At 43.1% G+C, this 18,675-nt stretch overlaps 1 long non-coding RNA gene across 1 annotated transcript; it reads right to left on the reverse strand.

Moving 5' to 3' along the window:
* Positions 1–9,170: 9,170 nt before the first annotated feature.
* LINC01859 (long intergenic non-protein coding RNA 1859) lies at positions 9,171–17,793 on the reverse strand. The gene is made up of 4 exons (NR_110746.1): positions 17,442–17,793; positions 11,814–12,005; positions 10,217–10,427; positions 9,171–9,439 (listed from the first exon to the last, which is right to left on the reverse strand). It is a non-coding gene; the product is annotated as a long intergenic non-protein coding RNA 1859 (long non-coding RNA).
* Between the last annotated feature and the right edge of the window lie 882 nt (positions 17,794–18,675).

An 18,675-nucleotide genomic window follows, 5' to 3' on the forward strand; every position in this document is an offset into this window, starting at 1 on the left:
CCAGCATTTATTGAATTGGGTGTTCTTTCTCCACTTTGTATCTTTGTTTACTTTGTCAAAGATCAGTTGGCTGTAAATATTTGGGTTCATTTCTGGTTTCGCTATTCTGTTTCATTGGTCTACATGTCTATTTTTATACCCATACAATGCTGTTTTGGTAACTATAGCCTTGTAGTATAGTTTGAAGTCATATAATGTAATGCCTTCAGATTTTTGTGTGTGTGTTTTTGGTTTTATTGGTTTTTTTTTTCTTAGTCTTGCTTTGACTTTGGAAGCTCTCTTTTTATTTTACATAAATTTTAGGATTTTTTTTAGTTCTGTGAAGAATGATAATGTTATTTTAATGGAAATTACATTGAATTTGTAGATTGTTTTTGGTAGGTTGATCATTGTCACAGTAGGATTGCTACCCATCCATAAGCATGAAATATGTTTCCATTTGTTTTTGTTGTCTATGATTTCTTTTAGCAGCATTTTGTAGTTTTTCTCATAGAGATCTTTCACCACCTTGGTTAGACATGTTCCTAATTATTTTTTTTTTTTGCAGCTATTTTAAAATGAGTTGAGTTCTTAATTTAATTCTTAGTTTGGTCACTGTTAGCGTACACCAGTGCCACTAACTTGTGCACATTGATTTTGTATCCTGAAATTTTACTGAATTTATGTATCAGATTGAAAAGCCTTTTTTTCTTTTTTCTTTTTGAGACAAGGTCTTACTCTGTTGCCCAGGCTGGAGTGCAGTAGCATGATCTCTCGGCTCACTGCAACCTCTGCCTCCTGGGTTCAAGTGATTCTCCTGTCTCAGCTTCCCTAGTAGCTGGAATTACAGCCTCTTGCCACTGCGCCTGGCTAATTTTTGTATTCTTAGTAGAGACAGGGTTTTACCATGTTGGCTAGGCTGGTCTTGAACTCCTGACCTCAGATGATCCACCTGCCTCCACCTCCCCAAGTGCTGGGATTACAGGCTTGAGCCACTGCACCTGGCCCTAAAAGCTTTTTAGATGAGTATTTAGGGTTTCCCAGCTATACAATTATATCATTGGTAAAAAGTGACAATTTGACTTCCTCTTTACCAATGTTGTTTATTTTTTGCTTTACTCTGATTGCTCTGGCCAAGACTTCCATTACTATGTTGAATAGAAGCGGTGAGAGTGGGCATTATTGTCTTGTTCCAGTTCTCAGAAAAAATCCTTTCAACTTTTTCCCGTTCAGTGTAATGTTGGCTGTTTATCATAGACAGCTTTTTTTTTCTTTTTTCTTTCTTTTTTTCAGACAGAGTCTTGCTCTGTCGCCCAGGCTGGAGTGCACTGGCACGATCTCCACTCACTGCAATTTCTGCCTCCCGGACTCAAGCGATTCTCCCGCCTCAGCCTCCCCAGTAACTGGGATAACAGGCACCCACCATCATGCCTGGCTAACTTTTGTAGTTTTGTACAGACCAGGTTTCACCATGTTGGCCAGGCTGATCTCAAACTCCTGACCTCAGGTGATTTGCCCACCTTGGCCTCCCAAAGTGCTGGGATTACAGGCATAAGCCACCGCGCCCAGCCTGTCATAGATGGCTTTTATGACCTTAAAATATGTTCCCTCTATCCCGATTTTGCTGAGGATTTTAATCGTAAAGGGATGCTGGATTTTGCCAAATGATTTTTCTGTGTATTTTGAGATAATCATATAATTTTTGGTTTTAATTCTGTTTATTTGATGTATAACATGTATTGACTTACCTATGTTAAATCATCTCTGCATCCCTGGCATAAAATGTTCTCGATTATGGTGTACTATCTTATTAATATGCTGCTGTGTTGGGTTAGCTAGTATTTTATCGAAGATTTTTGCATTCATCAGGAACATTGGTGTGTAGTTTTCTTTTATTATGTCTTTTCCTGATCTTGGTATTAGAGTGATATTGGCTTCACAGAATGACTTAGGAAGGATTGCATTTTTCTCTCTCTTTTGGAATAGTTTCAGTAGGACTGGTCCCAATTCTTTAAATGTCAGGTAGAATTGAGCTACGAATCCACCTTGTCCTGGACTTTTTTTGTTGGCAGTTTGTTTTTTGTTTTTTTTTTCTTGAGTCTTGCTCTGTCACCCAGGCTGGAATGTAATGGTGCAATCTTGACTCACTGCAACCTCTAACTTCTGGGTTTAAGTGATTCTCCTGACTCAGCCTCCCAAGTAGCTGGGATTACAGGCCAGCTTGTGACCTGGCTAATTTTTGTATTTTAAGTAGAGATGGGTTTTGCCATGTTGATCAGGCTGATCTCAAACCCCTGACCTCAAATGATCCACCCACCTCATCCTACCAAAGTGCTAGGATTACAGGCATGAGCCACTGTACCCAGCCAGCAATTTTTTATTATTAGTTTAATCTTGCTACTTGTTATTGGTCTCTTCAGGGTTTTTATTTCTTCCTGGTTTAATTTAGGAGGGTTGTATATTTTCAGGAATTTATCGAACTCCTCTAGGTTTTCTAGTTTGAGCATGTAAAGGTATTCATAGTAGCTTTGAATGATCTTTTATTTCTAATTGAGCAAATTTGGACCTTCTGCTTTTCTGGGTTAATCTCACTAATAGTCTGTCAGTTTGGTTTATCTTTTCAAATGACTAGCTTATTGTTTTATCTTTTATATTTTTTAAATTTCAATTTTATTTAGTTCTGCTCTGATCTTTGTTATTTTTTTTTTCTGCTGGGTTTGGTTTGTTCTTGTTTCTCTTGTTCCTTGAGGTGTAATCTTAGGTTGTTTATTGTGGTTTTTTGCACTTTTTGATGTATGTATTTCATACTATGAACTTTCCTCTTAGTACTGCTTTTGCTGTATCCCAGAAGTTTTAATATGTTGTGTCACTATTATTCAGTTTAGAGAATTATTTAATTTCCATCTTGATTTCATTGTGAACCCAATAATCATTCAGGAGCAGTTTATTTAATTTTCATGTATTTGTATGGTTTTGAGTGTTCCTATTGGAATTGATTTCTAATTTTATTCCACTGTGGCCTAAGACAGTACTTGATAAAATTTTGATATTCTTAAATTTATTCAGGGGCTGGGCATGGTGGCTCATGCTTTAATCCCAGTACTTTGGGAGGCCAAGGCAGGCAGATAACCTGAGGTCAGAAGTTCAAAACCAGCCTAGCCAACATGGTGAAACCCCATCTCTACTAAAAATACAAAAATTAGGAACGCATGGTGGCACATGCGTGTAATCCCAGCTACCCAGAAGGCTGAGGCAGGAGAATCCCTTGAACCTGGGAGGCAGAGGTTGCTGTGAGCTAAAATTGCACCATTGCACTCCAGCCTTGGTGACAGAGCAAGACTCTGTCACACACACACAAAAAAAAAAAAAAAAAAAAAATTCAGACTTGTCTTGTGACTTATCATATGGTCTATCTTGAAGAATGTTTTGTGTGCTGATGAAAAGAATGTATATTCTGCAGTTGCTGGGTGGAATATTCTGTAAATATCTGTTAAGTCCATTTGTTCTAAGGTATAGTTTAAGCCCATTGATTTTTGTTTGTTTCACTTTCTCTCCTGATGGCCTGTCTAATGCTGTAAGTAAAGTATAAGTCTCCCACTGTTTTTGTGTTGTTGTCTATCTCATTGCATTTCTTAAGGGACAACTTAGGTGAAACAAGAAAATTTGTATTTCTGAAGCATAGAGTTAATATTTTAGGCTAAAATATATTTTTTTCTTTGAGACAGAGTCTTGCTCTGTCGCCCAAGCTGGAATGCAGTGGCATGATCTTGGCTCACTGCAACTTCTGCCTCCCAGGTTCAAGTGATTCTTCTGCCTCAGACTCTTGAGTAGCTAGGACTGTAGGCACCCACCACCATGCATGGCTAATTGTTCTGTTTTTAGTAGAAACAAGGTTTTACCATATTGGCCAGGCTGGTTTCGAACTCCTGACCTCAGGTGATCTGCCCTCCTTGGCCTCCCAGAGTGTTGGGATTATGGGTGTGAGCCACTGCTCCTGGCCTTAAATGTACCATTTATGGTTTTTTTAATATATAATATTATATGATCTGCAAACATCAACTCTTTACTTACTTGTCATCAATTTCAGTGGCTTTAAACAATTTTTTTTTTTGCCTAACTCTTCTGCTACATACTTCCAGGGTTATGTTAAAATGGAAGCATTGACAATGGGGACAATATAGTTTTGCATTGCATTGGTTTTTGTAAATTTCATTGAACGAAAACCTCTTCAAGTTTATATAAAGTGGTTACAAGAGGTAAAGATCCCATATTTATAGGATGCCCTCTTCATTTGTAATAGACAGAGGTGGTAGGTTGGTCACAAGGCTGCTGGTTCTACATAGGGTTTACCTTTAGTTGGCTTGTTAAAAAAGGCTTGGGTAGTTGTAATTCCCATTTTATTATTGGACAGACTGAATATCCTTCAGGACTTTCATCTGTAGAGCAGACACTAGGGGAAGTTGTTGCAGTCAGGTCTGCATATGGTGGGGCTTACATCAGGATGTGGATGAGGATTCCTTTCACTGAGTACTAGAGAGGGTCTTCCCAGGTCACTGTGTGGGATTCTACCAAGGCAGAATTGTCCATGAACTGTGGCTTGGAACTAGAAGTAAAACATTAAACTGTATGGCTACAAATGGGAATCTTCCTCCAGGTCTCTGGAAGAGCAGGAGCTCTCCCAGGCTGTGGCTGGGAGGAGTTTGGAATGGTTATAAGGTAAGTTCAGAATTCTCAGTGGGAGCAAGTTGGGTTGGCTATTTTTTGGTCTGTAGCCAAGAAGAGATGTCCTGTAGTTTGCCACCTTAATAGAAGCCTGTCTCCTGAAAAGAACATACCTCAATCTTGGGCTTTAGGAGAGTTTCACAACTCCATCCCTGGATCTCAACTTACCTTTTACCTTAGAAGGAATATCTTGACAGGCCCTAGACCACTGGACCCCTAGAAATTTTACTGAGGTAGAAGGTCCCTAAATTTTAGTCAGTTTTATTTTCCATCCTCTAGAATGTAAATGTCTCATAAATAAGTCCAGTGTGTTTGCTATTTCTTGCTCATTGGATTCAATCAGCATAATGTCATCAATGTAATGGACCACTGTAATATTTGCAAAAGCAAAAAGTGACAGAGGTCTCTTTGAATAAGATTATGACACAAAGCCAGAGAGTTGATATATCCTTGAGGTAGAACAGTAAAGGTATATTGCCGACTTTGCCAGCTGAAAGCAAATTGCTTCTGGTGGGCCTTATGGACAGCAATGGAGAAAAGGGCAATTGCTAAGTCAATGTCTGCATACCAGGTACAAAGAGATGCGTTAATTTGCTCAAGCAACGAAACCATATCTGGTACAGCAGCTGCAACTGGAGTCATCACTTGGTTAAGCTTACAATAATCCACTGTCATTCTCCAAAATCCATCTGTCTTCTGTACAGGCCAAACGAAAGAGTTGAATGAGGATGTGGTAGGAATCACCGCCTCTGCATCCTTTAAGTCCGTGATGGTGGCACTAATCTCTGCACTCCCTCCATGGATACAATATTGGTTTTGATTTACTATTTTCATAGGTAGAGGCAGATCTAATGGCTTCCATTTGGCTTTTCCCACCATAATAGCCCTCACCCTACTAGTCAGCAAGCCAATTTGGGAATTCTGCCATCTGCTAAGTATGTCTATGCCAATTATGCATTCGGGCACTGGGGAAATGACCACAAAATGAGTCTTGGGACTCACTGGACCAACTCTAAGTTGGACCTGTGCTAAATCTCTATTAAGTACCTGACCTCTATAAGCCCCTATTTTAACTGGAGGACCACAGTGATGTTTTGGGTCCCCAGGAATCAATGTCAGCTCAGAGCCAGTGTTTAGTAGTCCCCAAAATATCCAATCATTTCCCTTTTCCCAGTGCACTGTTACCCCCATAAAAGGCCAGAGATCTACTTGGGGAAAGATGGGAGAAAGATTCACTGGATAAATTGTTGGTAGTGTAGTGGGGTTGCTCTTCAAGAGAATCCAGCCTCCCCTTTATTCAAGGGGTTCTGGGTCTGTAAACTGGCTCAAGTCTGGAAATTGATTGAGGGGCCATGATTCTCTGTTTTTATATTTCAAATTAGTCTTCTGCCCATTCAACCTAGAATTTTTCTGCTTGTATAAATTAAGTAGGAATGCAGTAGGTTTCCTATCAATTTTACTTCTAGGAACATCGTGATGAATCAGCCAATGCCAGAACTCTACACAAGTCAGACTGTTCTGATTGCCATTTTGCCTCTGCTGTCCATTACAGTAGCTATGCCCACCTTGCCTTTGATGGTCGAGTGCCACCACTTGGCCCCTGCCACCTCGGGATCCAATTATTCCCATTGTATTTACATTTTTTAGCTGAGTGACTGCGGTTCCCATTGTTGGACCTGACATGCAAAGAAGAGCAATTACAGGGCTCTTCAAAGATTCAGGTGCTGCCCTCACAAATCTATTTTGCAAGGCAATGGTCAAGGGTATATATTTTGGACCTTCCCTGCTGGAATTAGTAGGTCTAAAGTGACTAATCCACTCCAGTATCGCAATCTCCCTAAGCCTTTTGATCTCTCCCTCTACATTAAACCAAGGGACATCAGGCATTTCCAGCTCACTCACAGTGGGCTATCATTTTTTTTTTTTTTTTTTTTTGAGACAGAGTTTTGCTCTTGTTGCCCAGGCTGGAGTGCAATGGCACAATCTCGGCTCACTGCAACCTCCACCTCCTAGGTTCAAGCGATTCTCCTGCCTCAGCCTCCCGAGTAGCTGGGATTACAGGCATGCACCACCACACCCGGCTAATTTTGTATTTTTAGTAGAGACAGGGTTTCTCCATGTTGGTCAGGCTGGTCTCGAACTCCTGACCTCAAGTGATCCACCTGCCTCAGCCTCCCAAAGTGCTGGGATTACAGGCATGAGCCACCACACCCGGCCAGTGGGCCATCTTTTAATCCATATTTCAGCTAACCAAGCAAAGAAACTATTAGAAACTTGTTTAACTCCCCAACCTGCAACATTAAATGCAGTGTTCCTATTTAGTGGGGCCTAATAAATAAATTCTGCCTGATTCAACCCTATGTTCCTTCCACCATTATCCCACACCCTTAACATTCATCTCCAAGCCTGTTCTCCAAATTTCTATTTATATAAATTAGAAAACTCAAGCAGTTCTTTTTGAGTGCAGTACACCTTCTCATGGGGAACACTCTCAACCTCACCTCTGAAGGTCCACTGGGACTTTAGTCTACTTATATGCCAAGAAGCAAACATGGGTGTTGAGGTTGGCTCCTGAGAAGAATCAACATTATTTTGCCTGGGAACTGCCTCAGGGAAGGCCATCACTGTTGCCTCAGGCAGTGCAGGGTTTATTTCAAAGGTGGAAAGGCAGCAGGGATCAGAAAGGGGATGTTACCACTACTGGGGATGGGGAAGCTCTTTCTTCTAACAGAAAAGGTTCATCGGAGTTTGCAAACTCAGTCACCCCGGCTTCATCAGGGTCCTTCCACACATCCCCATTCCAAGTGGCAGGGTCCCATTCTTTTCCAATAAATGCCCTCACTTTAATAGTAGACACCTGGCGAGGTTGCCCATACACCTTTTGTTGCAGATCAGCCACTAGCACAATAACAGTTTGTGTCTGTTTTTCCACAATTTCAGCTCTTTCTCTACAGGAGATGAGACTCTCACTCAGGGTGATCTTAGCAGATTTGAGGCTCAGTATCTGCTTCTAAAGCCAAAAGATAGAATCCCTGAGTTCATCATTTTATATCATCTCTCTGTCCACTGAACTTAGGACAACCAGCTTCATTATGTTCCTTTGTTCTCCACATATGGTCAAAGGTTGTTTTTGTTTTGTTTTGTTTTGAGATAGACTCTCACTCTGTCACCAAGGCTGGAGGGCAGTGGTGCGATCTCAGTTCACTGCAAACTCCGCCTCCCGGGTTCAAGCAATTCTCTGCCTCAGCCTCCGGAGTAGCTGGGATTACAGGTGCCTGCCACCACACCCAGCTAATTTTTGTATTTTTAGTAGAGATGGGGTTTCACCATCTTGGCCAGGCTGGTCTTGAACTCCTGACCTTTTGATCCACCTGCCTCGGCCTCCCAAAGTGCTGGGATTATAGGTGTGAGCCACTGCGCCCGGCTGGTCAAAGGTATTATGTATAGAGTCACTAAACTCCTTGCCTCCCATGAGTGATAGTGTCATATGCATTTATTTTACATAACTTCTTAAACTGTTCATCCCAAGGGCTATCAGTGTTCTCCATACTATTAGAAGTAGAGTCTTTAGCATTTTTGGGTCTAATCATATTAAGCAGCCAACTCCAGAAACCCCAGAATCAAAAAAGAACTCTATACTTAATATTCTTTTCCTCTAGAATCACTCCTGGTACCAAAATCTGTATTAGTCAGGGTTCTCTAGAGGGACATAAGTATTAACTCACACAATCACAAGATCCCACAATAGACTGTCTGCAGGCTGAGAATGAAGGAGAGCCACTCCGAGTCCCAAAAATGAAGAACTTGGAATCTGGTGTTCAAGGGCAGGAAGCATCCAGCACAGGAGAAAGATGTAGGCTGGGAGACTAGGCCAATCTCTCTTTTCACATTTTTCTGCCTGCTTATATTCTAACCATGCTGGCAGCTGATTAGATTGTGCCCATCCAGATTAAGGGTGGGTCTGCCTTTTCCAGCCCACTGACTCAATTGTTAATCTCCTTTGGCAACACCCTCACAGACACACCCAAGATTGATACGTCGTATCCTTCAATCCAATCAAATTGACACTCAGTATTAACTATCACACCTAGTTAAAAGAGTCAACCAACATCCCTCCATTTGGCTGAATCCAGGTGAAACAGTCATCACCATTTTTCTAAGCTGAATCCAGAAATGAGTCAGCATTCCACCTATGGGCAGACTCACATATCACAGTCACAATTCCAATGGTGAATTTTTTTGATGTGTGAGATTTAGAACCTTACCAGTGGGCTCTGTTTATATGTGAAGGTGACAATACTGTTAGCTTTGTTTGTGTATTAAAGGGTCAATCTCACCTGTGTGCTGGGCCTGTGATAAAACTTTGTACTGCCAGAGGGCTTCATGTAATTTCCATTAACTGTAATAATCTTCTGTGAGTCTCATACAGGTAGGAGACCAAGGACCATACCAGTTTCCTCAAGCCTAGCTATAATAGTCAACATATCTTTTATTGGCTGGATCCAGGTATGAGAGTTATCAATGTGCCTGTGAGCTAACTTTATAAATAGGTCAACATCACACCTGTGGCTGGATCTACATATGACATTCCAACTGCGGACTGTGTCCATGTACAAGATTCAAGACCTAACCAGAGGTCTCTGTCCATGTGTGAGGGTGACACTCATAACTTTTGGCAGGATGAGCATACGAGATACTTCACCTGTGTGCTGGGTGCAGTTATATGTCAAAATCCCACCTGTGGAAAAGAAACAAGCTAAGAGAGTCACATATTTTAAATTCTAGGCTAAAGATATGTTAAAATATGCCTTGCAGGCGGGGCTCAGGAAAGAGAGTTACATCACCTGAGTGCTGTGACGGGTGATATGTCACAATGCCTTCTATGGGCATGGCTCAGGCAGGAGTTTTACATTATTTTTGTGTTGGCCCTATGATATGTAACAATCCCCCTCCATTTGCATGACCTAGAGAAAATAGAAGAGTCACAGCACCTAAATTATGACCATAGAGATCTATCATGATACCTCCTATGGGCAGAGCCTAAGATAGAGGGTCACATCACCTGCAAACTGGGCTCAGTACAATGTTTCAATCTCCCCTGAGGCCAGAGCCCAGGCAGAAGAGGAGAGTTATATCACCTAAGTGCTTGGGCCTGTGGTATGTCACAGTTCATTTTTGGGGGGTGGCAGAATGCAGGCAAAGGAGGAGTGTTACATCACCTAGGTAATGGGTTCAGAAGTATTTCACAATACCTACTGTGGGCAGGGCCCAGGCAGTACAGTCACATCATGGAGATGCTGGGCTCAGTGATATCTCACAAAGACTTTGTGGACAGGGCCCAGGCTGAAAATAAGAGTCACATGACCTAAGTGCTGGGCCCAGTGAAATTTCACAATACCCTCTGTAGGTAGGGCTTAAGCAAGAGAGTCACATCACAATCTTTTCTGAGAGCTGGGCCCAGGCAGGGAAGTAAAATCACTCAGGTGCTAGGCAAAAGTATATGTCACAATCATACCTGTGGGAAGATCTAGGGCTAGGATTCACAATTCCACACATGTCCCAGCTTCAGGTAAAAAGCGTCAACACCTCCTGTGAGTTGCATCCAAGTACATGAGTCACAGTATCAATGATGAACTGGATCCATGCATGAGAGTCCCAATTCCACCTGCAGACTGTGTATTATGTTGGCTTTATGATATGTCAAAATCCGCCTCCATTTGCATGACCTAGAGAAAATAGAAGAGTCACAGAGCCTTCTGTGACTGGTATCAGAGTCAAAGCCTTCTAGGTGTGTTGAATCCTGGTCTTAGAGTCACCATCCACCTGTAGACAAAATCCAGTAAAACAATTACAATCCCAACTTTCGACTGCATCCGAGTGTGAGATTCAGAAGCTCAACAGTTTTCTGTATCCATGCAGGAGGGTGACAATTTTTACTAGGCGCTAGAAGTGCATATGAGAATTAAAATCTCAGCTTGTTCTGGGTCCTCTTATGACACTCTCTGTACCACCCCGAGGGCTTTACATTGTTTGGGTGAGAGTCATCATCTGCTGTGAGACATTAGTGCTGGTATAAATTCATGATCTTGCCTATTGCCCTAAGCTTAGGTATGAAAGTCAACATCTCTCCTATTGTCTGGGTCCAGGTATGAAAGTCATTGCTGTGCCTCTTAGTTGGGTTTTATGAGTCACCCTCCCACCTGTGGTTGGATCCACACATGACATTAAAAATTCCAACTGTGGACTGCATCTGTAAGTGAGTTTCAGGACTTCACAAGTGGGTTCTGTCCATATATGTGGGGGACAATTCTTACTGTTTGCTGGGTGTGCATTTGAGAGTCACAATCTCAAATTTTGCTGAGTTATGTAATGACACTTTTTGTACAACCTGAGGGCATTATACAATATTAGTGAGTGTAGTAATCCTCTGTGACATTTATACAAGTAGAAAACCCAAAACCTTACCTGTTGCCCTAAGCCTAAGTACAAGCATCAACATATCTTCTATTGGCTGGGTTTATTGTGCAAGTGAATTGGGTTCAGAAATTTGCCACCATCCAACCGGCGGAATAGGTTCATGTGTGAGGTTCAGGACCTCACCAGTAAGCTCAGTCTACATGTGAGGGTGGCAATTCAAACTGTTGGTTAGGTGTGTATAGGAGAGTCACAATCTCACCTGTGTGCTCAGTCTTGTAATGACACTCTGTATTGCCCAAAAGCTTTATACAATATGTGTGAGTGTCATAATCTTCTGTTACCTTCCTACAAGTAAAAGACCTAGACCCCTAAGCCTAGCTACCAGAGTCAACATCTCTCTTATTGGCTGGGCCCATGTTTGACAGTCATCACCATTTCTGTGAGCTGAATCCAGAAATGAATCACCATCCCACTTATGGCAAGATATACATATGACAGTCACAATTCCAGCTGTTGACTGCATTCACTCATGAGACTCAGGACCTCAACAGCAGTCTTTGTCCATGTGTTATAGTGACAATAGTAACTGTTGTATGGGATTGCATACAAGAATAAAAATCTCATCTGTGTCCTGGACCACATCATATTTCACAATCTTATCTGTGGGAAAGGTTAAAAAATGAGAGTAACATCACCTGAATTCTTCACCTGGAATATGTCTCAATCTCCTCTATGGGCAAGGCCCAGACTGGAGAATTGGATCACTTGCATGCAGGGTCCGGTGACATATTATAATATTTTCTCTAGGCACAGCTCAGGCAGGAGAGTCACAACATTTGGGTGCTGGGCTCAGAGATATGCCACAATCCCTTTTTTGGGCATGTCTCCTGCAACAGAGAAGAGGCACATTATGTAGAAAATTGGTACAGGGATTTGTCACAATGTCCCCTTTTGGTGGTGCACAGGCAGGTGAGGAGAGTCACATCACCCAGATAATGGGCCTAGCAATATATCACAATGCCCCCTGATGGAAGGGCAAAGACAAGAAAGTCACATAACCTAGGTGAGAAAACCTGACATAGGTCACAATGCATGTTATGAGTAGGGATCATGGAAAAGAGGAGAGTCATATAACCTGGAGGCTGCACTCAGATAAATGTCATAATCATCCCAGTGGGCAGGGCCTAGGCATGAGAGGAGAGTCACATCACATAAATGCTAGGCCTAGCGATATGTCATAGTCCCCACTGTGTACAGGTCCCAGAATAAAGTAAAGAGTCACACCATCTACATGTTGGGACCAAAGATATGTAGCAATTACACCTGTGGGCAGGGGTCAGGCAGAAGAGCCACAGCACCTGTGTGCTGGACCCTGTGATAAGTTTTTTTTTTATTTATCTGTTGGCATGGCCCAGTCAGAAGAGGCAAATCAAACCACCTGGGTTCTGGGCCCAGTGATATGTCACAATGTCTTCCATAGGCAAAGCCCAGGTAACAGAGGAGACTCACATCAAATAATTGATGGACCCAGAGATATTTCACAATGCCCGCTGTGAGCAAGAGCCAGGCAAGAGACTCACATCACTTTTGTGCTGGGCCACTATCTTTTGTGTGAGCAGAACATAGGAAAAAGAGAAGCATTGGCCGGGCGCGGTGGCTCATGCCTGTAATCTCAGCACTTTGCGGGGCTGAGGAGGGTGGATCACCTGAGATCAGGAGTTTGAGACCAGCCTGACCAACAAGGTGAAGCCCCGTCTCTACTAAAAATACAAAATACACCAAGTGTGATGGCAGGTGCCTGTAGTCCCAGCTGCTCAGGAGGCTGAGACAGAAGAATTTCTTGAACCCAGGAGGCAGATATTGCAGTGAGCCGAGATCGTGCCACTGCACTCCAGCCTGGGTGATGGAGCAAGACTCCATCTCAAAAAAAAAAAAAAAAAAAAAAAAAAAAAAAAAAAAAAGAGAGAGAAGCATCACATCAGCAGAGTGCTGAGCCCAGATATGTCCCAATCCCCCTGTGAGCAGAATGCATGCAGAAGAGAGTCAACATACATGGATGATGGGCACAGAGATATTTCATAATGTCCACTGCAGGAAGGGCACAGGAAGAAGTGTAACATCACTTGAGTGTTGGACAGTGCAATATGTCAAAATAGCCAATGTGGTCAGGGCACAGGCAGAAATCACATAACCTGGGTGCAGGGCCTGACAGTGCATCACAGTGTCCTCTATGGGCGGAGCCAAGGCAGGAGAATAGGTCACATCAGCTAAGTGCTTGGCCAAGTGATACGTCATAATCCCTACTGGGGGCTGGACCGAGGCTGGGAAGTCAAATCGCTCAGATTCTGGGCAGAAGCATACATCAGAATTACACCAGCAGGAAGGTCCTGAAATGAAATTAACAATCCCACACATGTCCCAGTTTCAGGTATGAGAGTCAACACCTTCTGTAGGTTTGGTTTAAGTACCTGAGTCACAGTTTCAACAATGGACTGAATTTGTACACAAAAGACCCAATCCCTTCTGAAGACTGTGTCCCCTTATTGAAGCCACAGCCTCACAGCCATGAGGAATCTTGGTCTGAGAGTAACCAACCCACCTATGGATCAGATCCACATATAAGAGTTAATTATTCAACTTCCCATTGCCTCTGGTTGGGAGATTCAGAGCCTCAACAGTGGGCTGTGCTCATGTGAAAGGATGACAATATTTGCTATTGGCTACCTGTGCATAAGAGTGTCACAATATTACCTGTGTGCTGGGTGCTGTAAGGACACTTTCTCTACCATTCAAGGGCTGTATATGCTATGCATGAGAGTTAGAATTTGCTCTGAGACCTCCATGCTAGTATGAACCCATGATTGTCACCCGTGGCCCTAAGCTCATGTATGAGACTCAACATCTCTTTAATTGACTTGGTCCAGATAGGAGATTCCTCAACTGCCTATGAGATGGCTTTAGAAATGAGTCGCCATCTCAATTGTGGTTGGATGTTTACATATGACAGTCACAATTCCAACTGTAAACTGCATCCGTGTATGAAGTTCAAGACCTCACCAGTAAACTGTGTCCTTGCATGAATGCAATAATCCTAATAATTGGTGGGGTGTACACACAATATAAACAATCTCACCTGTGTGTTGGGCACTGTGAAGACACTCTCTGTATCACCTGAGGGCTTTATACAGTATGTGAGGGAGTGGAAATTCTCTATGACCTTTCTACAAAAAGGAGACTCAGGATCTTACCCATTTCTCTAAGCTTAGCTACAAGAGACAGTATCTCTTCTGGTGACTGTTATGAGAGTTATTATTGCACCTGTCAGCCAGGCCAAGATGTATGTTACAATCCCATTTGTCAGTAGAGAGTGAGCAGGATGGTCACATCACATGAGTGCTGGGAAAGGGTTATGTCACAGTCATTTTTGAGGCCAGGGACCAGGGATAAAAGAAATATCACCTTAGTGCTAGGCCAAGGGTTATGTTCCACTGTTTTCTGTGGGCAAGGTGCAGGCAAAACAAACTCATCACCTTGTTACTGGGCCCAGTGATATGTCACAATTTTCACTGAGGGCAAAGTGGAGGCTAAAAACAAGGGTCATATCTCTTAGGTCATGATGCAGAGATACATCACAAGGCCTCCCGTGGGCAGGCCACAGGTAGAAATCACCAATTTCCTAGGTGTTGGAGCCTGTGATATGTCAAAACACACAATGTATGCAGGGCCCATGCAGGAGAGAAGAGTCACATAACTTAGGTACTGAGCCTAGCAATACATCCCAATTTCTTCTTGGACAGAGCCCAAGAGATAGAAGAGTCTTATTACCCAGGTGTTGGGTCTAGCTATATGTCAAAATATTCTCTGAAGGGAGAGATCAGGGAGGAGTGTAACCTCACCTAGGTCAGAAGCCCAGAGATGTTGCCGATTCTGTGTAAGTCTCAGGAAAAAGAGAAGAGTCAGGTATCCTAGAAACTAGGCTACATTATATGTTGCAATTATCCAAGTGGGAGGGTTCTCATGAGAAGAGAGTCACAACATGTAGCTGCTGAGCTAAACGATGCATCACAATTCCCACTGCGTACTGGTCCCAGAAAGAAGAGGAGAGTCCCATCATCTAGGTGATGGGTCCAGAAATATGGCATACGCATCCTGTGGGCAAGCAACAGGCAGAGGTATCTCAGCATGTCTGTAGTAGGCCCGGTATTAAGTTACTCTCCCTTGTATGGGCATGATCCAGGCAGAAGAAGTCACATCACCTAGGTGCTGGGCCCAGAGATATATCACAATATCTTTTGTGGGAAAAGACAAGGTAAAAGAAGAGACATCAAATAGTTGATGGGTCTAGAGATATGTTACAATCTTTCTGTGGGCAGGGTCTAGGCAGGAGACTCAGTCACTGTGGTCCTGGGCACAGCACTATGTAAAAATGCTTTATTTTGGAAGAGCCAAGGCAGAAGAATATCACCTGTCTGTTAGCCCAGCGACTTGTCACAATATCCCCTGCAAACTGAACCTTGAAAGAAGATTAGAGTAATGTCAGCTAGGTGCTGGCCCCAATTATTTGTCAAAATCCTTCTTTTGAAAAGAAATTGGTAGAAGAGGATTATCAAAACACAAAGTTGATTGGTGCATAGATATGTCACAAAAATCCTTGTAGGCAGGGCCAGGCAGGAGAGTTACATCACCTGGGTATTGGACCCAGCAACATGTCAAAATTGCCCATATGGGCAGGGCACAGGCAGGGGACTCACATAACCTGAATGTGGTGCCAAGTGATATGTGACAGTGCCCCCTGTGGGCAGCATGAAGGCAGAAGAGACTCACATCACCTGGATGCAAGGCCAAGCAATATGTCACAATGTTCCCTTTTGGCAACGCTAAGGCAGGAGTATGCAGCTGCATCACCTAATTGTTGGTTTTGATGAAATTTTATAATTTCAGCTGTGGGCTGGGCCCAGGGAGTAGAGTTAAATCACTCAGGTGATGGGCAGAATCTATGTCACAATCATATCTGCAGGAATATCCAGGTATGTGATTAACAATCCCATATATGTCTAGGTTCTAGGTGTAAGATTCAATAGCCGGCCAGGCATGGTGGCTCACGCCTGTAATCCCAGCACTTTGGGAGGCCAAGGCAGACAGATCACCTGAGGTCAAGATTTTGACCTCAGATGGCCAACGAGGTGAAACTCCGTCTCTACTAAAAATACAAAAATTAGCCAGGTGTGGTGCCAGGTGTCTGTAATCCCAGCTACTCTACTCAGGAGGCTGAGGCAGGAGAATTGCTTGAATCCAGGAGGTGGAGGTTGCAGTGAGCCAAGATCTGCCACTGCACTCCAGCCTGGGGAAAAAGAGTCAGGCTCCATCTAAAGAAAAAAAAAAAAAAAAAAAAAAAATTCAGCAGCTCATGTATGTTGGACCTAAGTAAAGGAGTCACAATCTAAGTGGTAGAATAATCTGTCCATGAGACCCTTAATCCCTCCTGTGACCTGCTTCTCCTTAGTGAAGTCACAGCCTCAGACTTGTGTTGAATCTGAGACTCACCATCCCACCTGTGAATGGGATCCAGGTATGATAGTCAATTTTCTAACTTTTGACTGCCTTCGAGTCTGAGATTCAGAAGCTCAATCACTGGCTGTTTCATGAGACAGAATGACAATCTTTACTGTTGACTGGGTGTGCATATGAGTGGCACAGTCTCACCTGTGTGCTGGGCTCTGTTGGAACACATTCTGCACCGCCTGAGGGCTTTATGCAGTGTGCCTAAAAGTCACAGTCTGCTCTGAGACCTTTCTGCTTTTATAGACCCATGGTCATACCTGTGACCCTAAGTTCAGGTGTGAGCATAGTTGGCAGGGTTCAAATTAGAGAGTCCTCACTCTCTAGTCAGCAGGGTCTAGACTGGAGAGTCGTCACCCACCTGCGCACTGGATTTATTAATGAGTCACCACCTTAATTGTTGCCGGATGTTAATATATGACAGTAACAATTCCAACTTTGAACCATATCCACCTGTAAGATTCAGGACCTCAACAGTTGGCTGTTGCCATGTGTGAGGGTGACAATCATAACAGTTGGCAGTTTGTGCATTGTAGAAACAATCTCACCTGTGTGCTAAGCCCTGTGAAGACACTCTTTGTGGCACCCAAAAGTTTATAGAACACACTAAAGATTGGTAATTCATTATGACATTCATACAAAGAGAAGGCCCAGGGTCTTGTTTCCTAATCTACACTACAAGAGACACTATCTCCCCTATTGGCTGATTCCAGGTATCATCATAGCACCTATGAGTTGGGCCAGGATATTTGTCACAATCTCACCTGTAAGTAGAAAATGAGCAGAAGAGTCACATCACCTGGATGCTGTATGAGGAATGTCACAATATTTTCTGGAAGCAGGGCACAGGCAGAAGAGTCACATAACCTGGTGGCTGAGCCCAGTGATGTTTCACAATGCTCCCTGTGGGAAAAGACCTGCCAGAAAAGACACATCACCTGGTTACTGGGCAGAGCTATATGTCACAATCTTCTCTATGTGCAGGCTGCAGGCAGAAAAAGAGTCACATCACTTAGGCGATAGATGCAGACATATGTCACAAGGCCGCCTATGGGCAGGGCTTATTCAGTAGCCTCTGATCCAATCCTGTAGGTGTTGGGTCCAGCGACATGTCACAATACCAAAAATATGCATGGCTCAGCAAAAGAAAAGATTTACATCATCTAGGTACTGGATCCAGTGATATGTCACAATCTTCTTTTTTGGCATAGCTCAGGAAGAAGTAGAGAGTCACATCACCAAGGTGTTGGATCAAGCCATATGTCACAATACACAATAAATGCAGGGCTCATGAAAAGATGAGAGTCAAATCTCTTAGGTGTGGAACAGTGGTACATCACAATTTCTCCTTTGTCAGAGCCACATCACCTAGGTGGCTGGCCCAGTAATATGTCACAATTCCCTTGAGAGGTGAGCCCAGGCAGGAGAGTCACATCATTTCGGTGAGAACCCCACAGATGTGTCATTATTTTCCCTGTGAATAGGGCTCAGGAAGAAAATGACAGTCACATCATTTAAATGATGGGCCCAGAGATAGATTACAATGGCTCCTGGGTACAAAAACCAGGCAGAAGAATTACATCACCTGTGTGCTGGGCCCAGTGATAAGTCACTTTCCCTTGTGTGGGCATGGCTTCAGCAGGAGAGAAGCGTCACATCACTAAGGTTCTGGTTCCAGAGATATGTCACAATCTCTCCTATTGACAAAGCATGGGTAGGAGAGGAGAGTCAAATGAAGCAGTTGATGGGCCCAGAGATATGTCACAATGCCCCCCCCCCCCCCGCCCGTAGGCAGAGTACAAGCAGGTACCTCCCAATTCTTTAGATGTTGTGGCCAGGGACATGTCACAATACTTAAAAAATGCAGGACACAGGCAATAAAACAAAGTCACATCACCTAGGTGCTAGGTTCAGCGATATATCACAATCCCTAATTCAAGAGGGGAGATAAAAAGATTCACGTAACCAAGGTGTTAAATGTAAAGATATGTCATAATA

The sequence above is a fragment of the Homo sapiens genome, chromosome 19 (assembly GCF_000001405.40).
Source record: "Homo sapiens chromosome 19, GRCh38.p14 Primary Assembly".
NCBI lineage: Eukaryota > Metazoa > Chordata > Mammalia > Primates > Hominidae > Homo > Homo sapiens.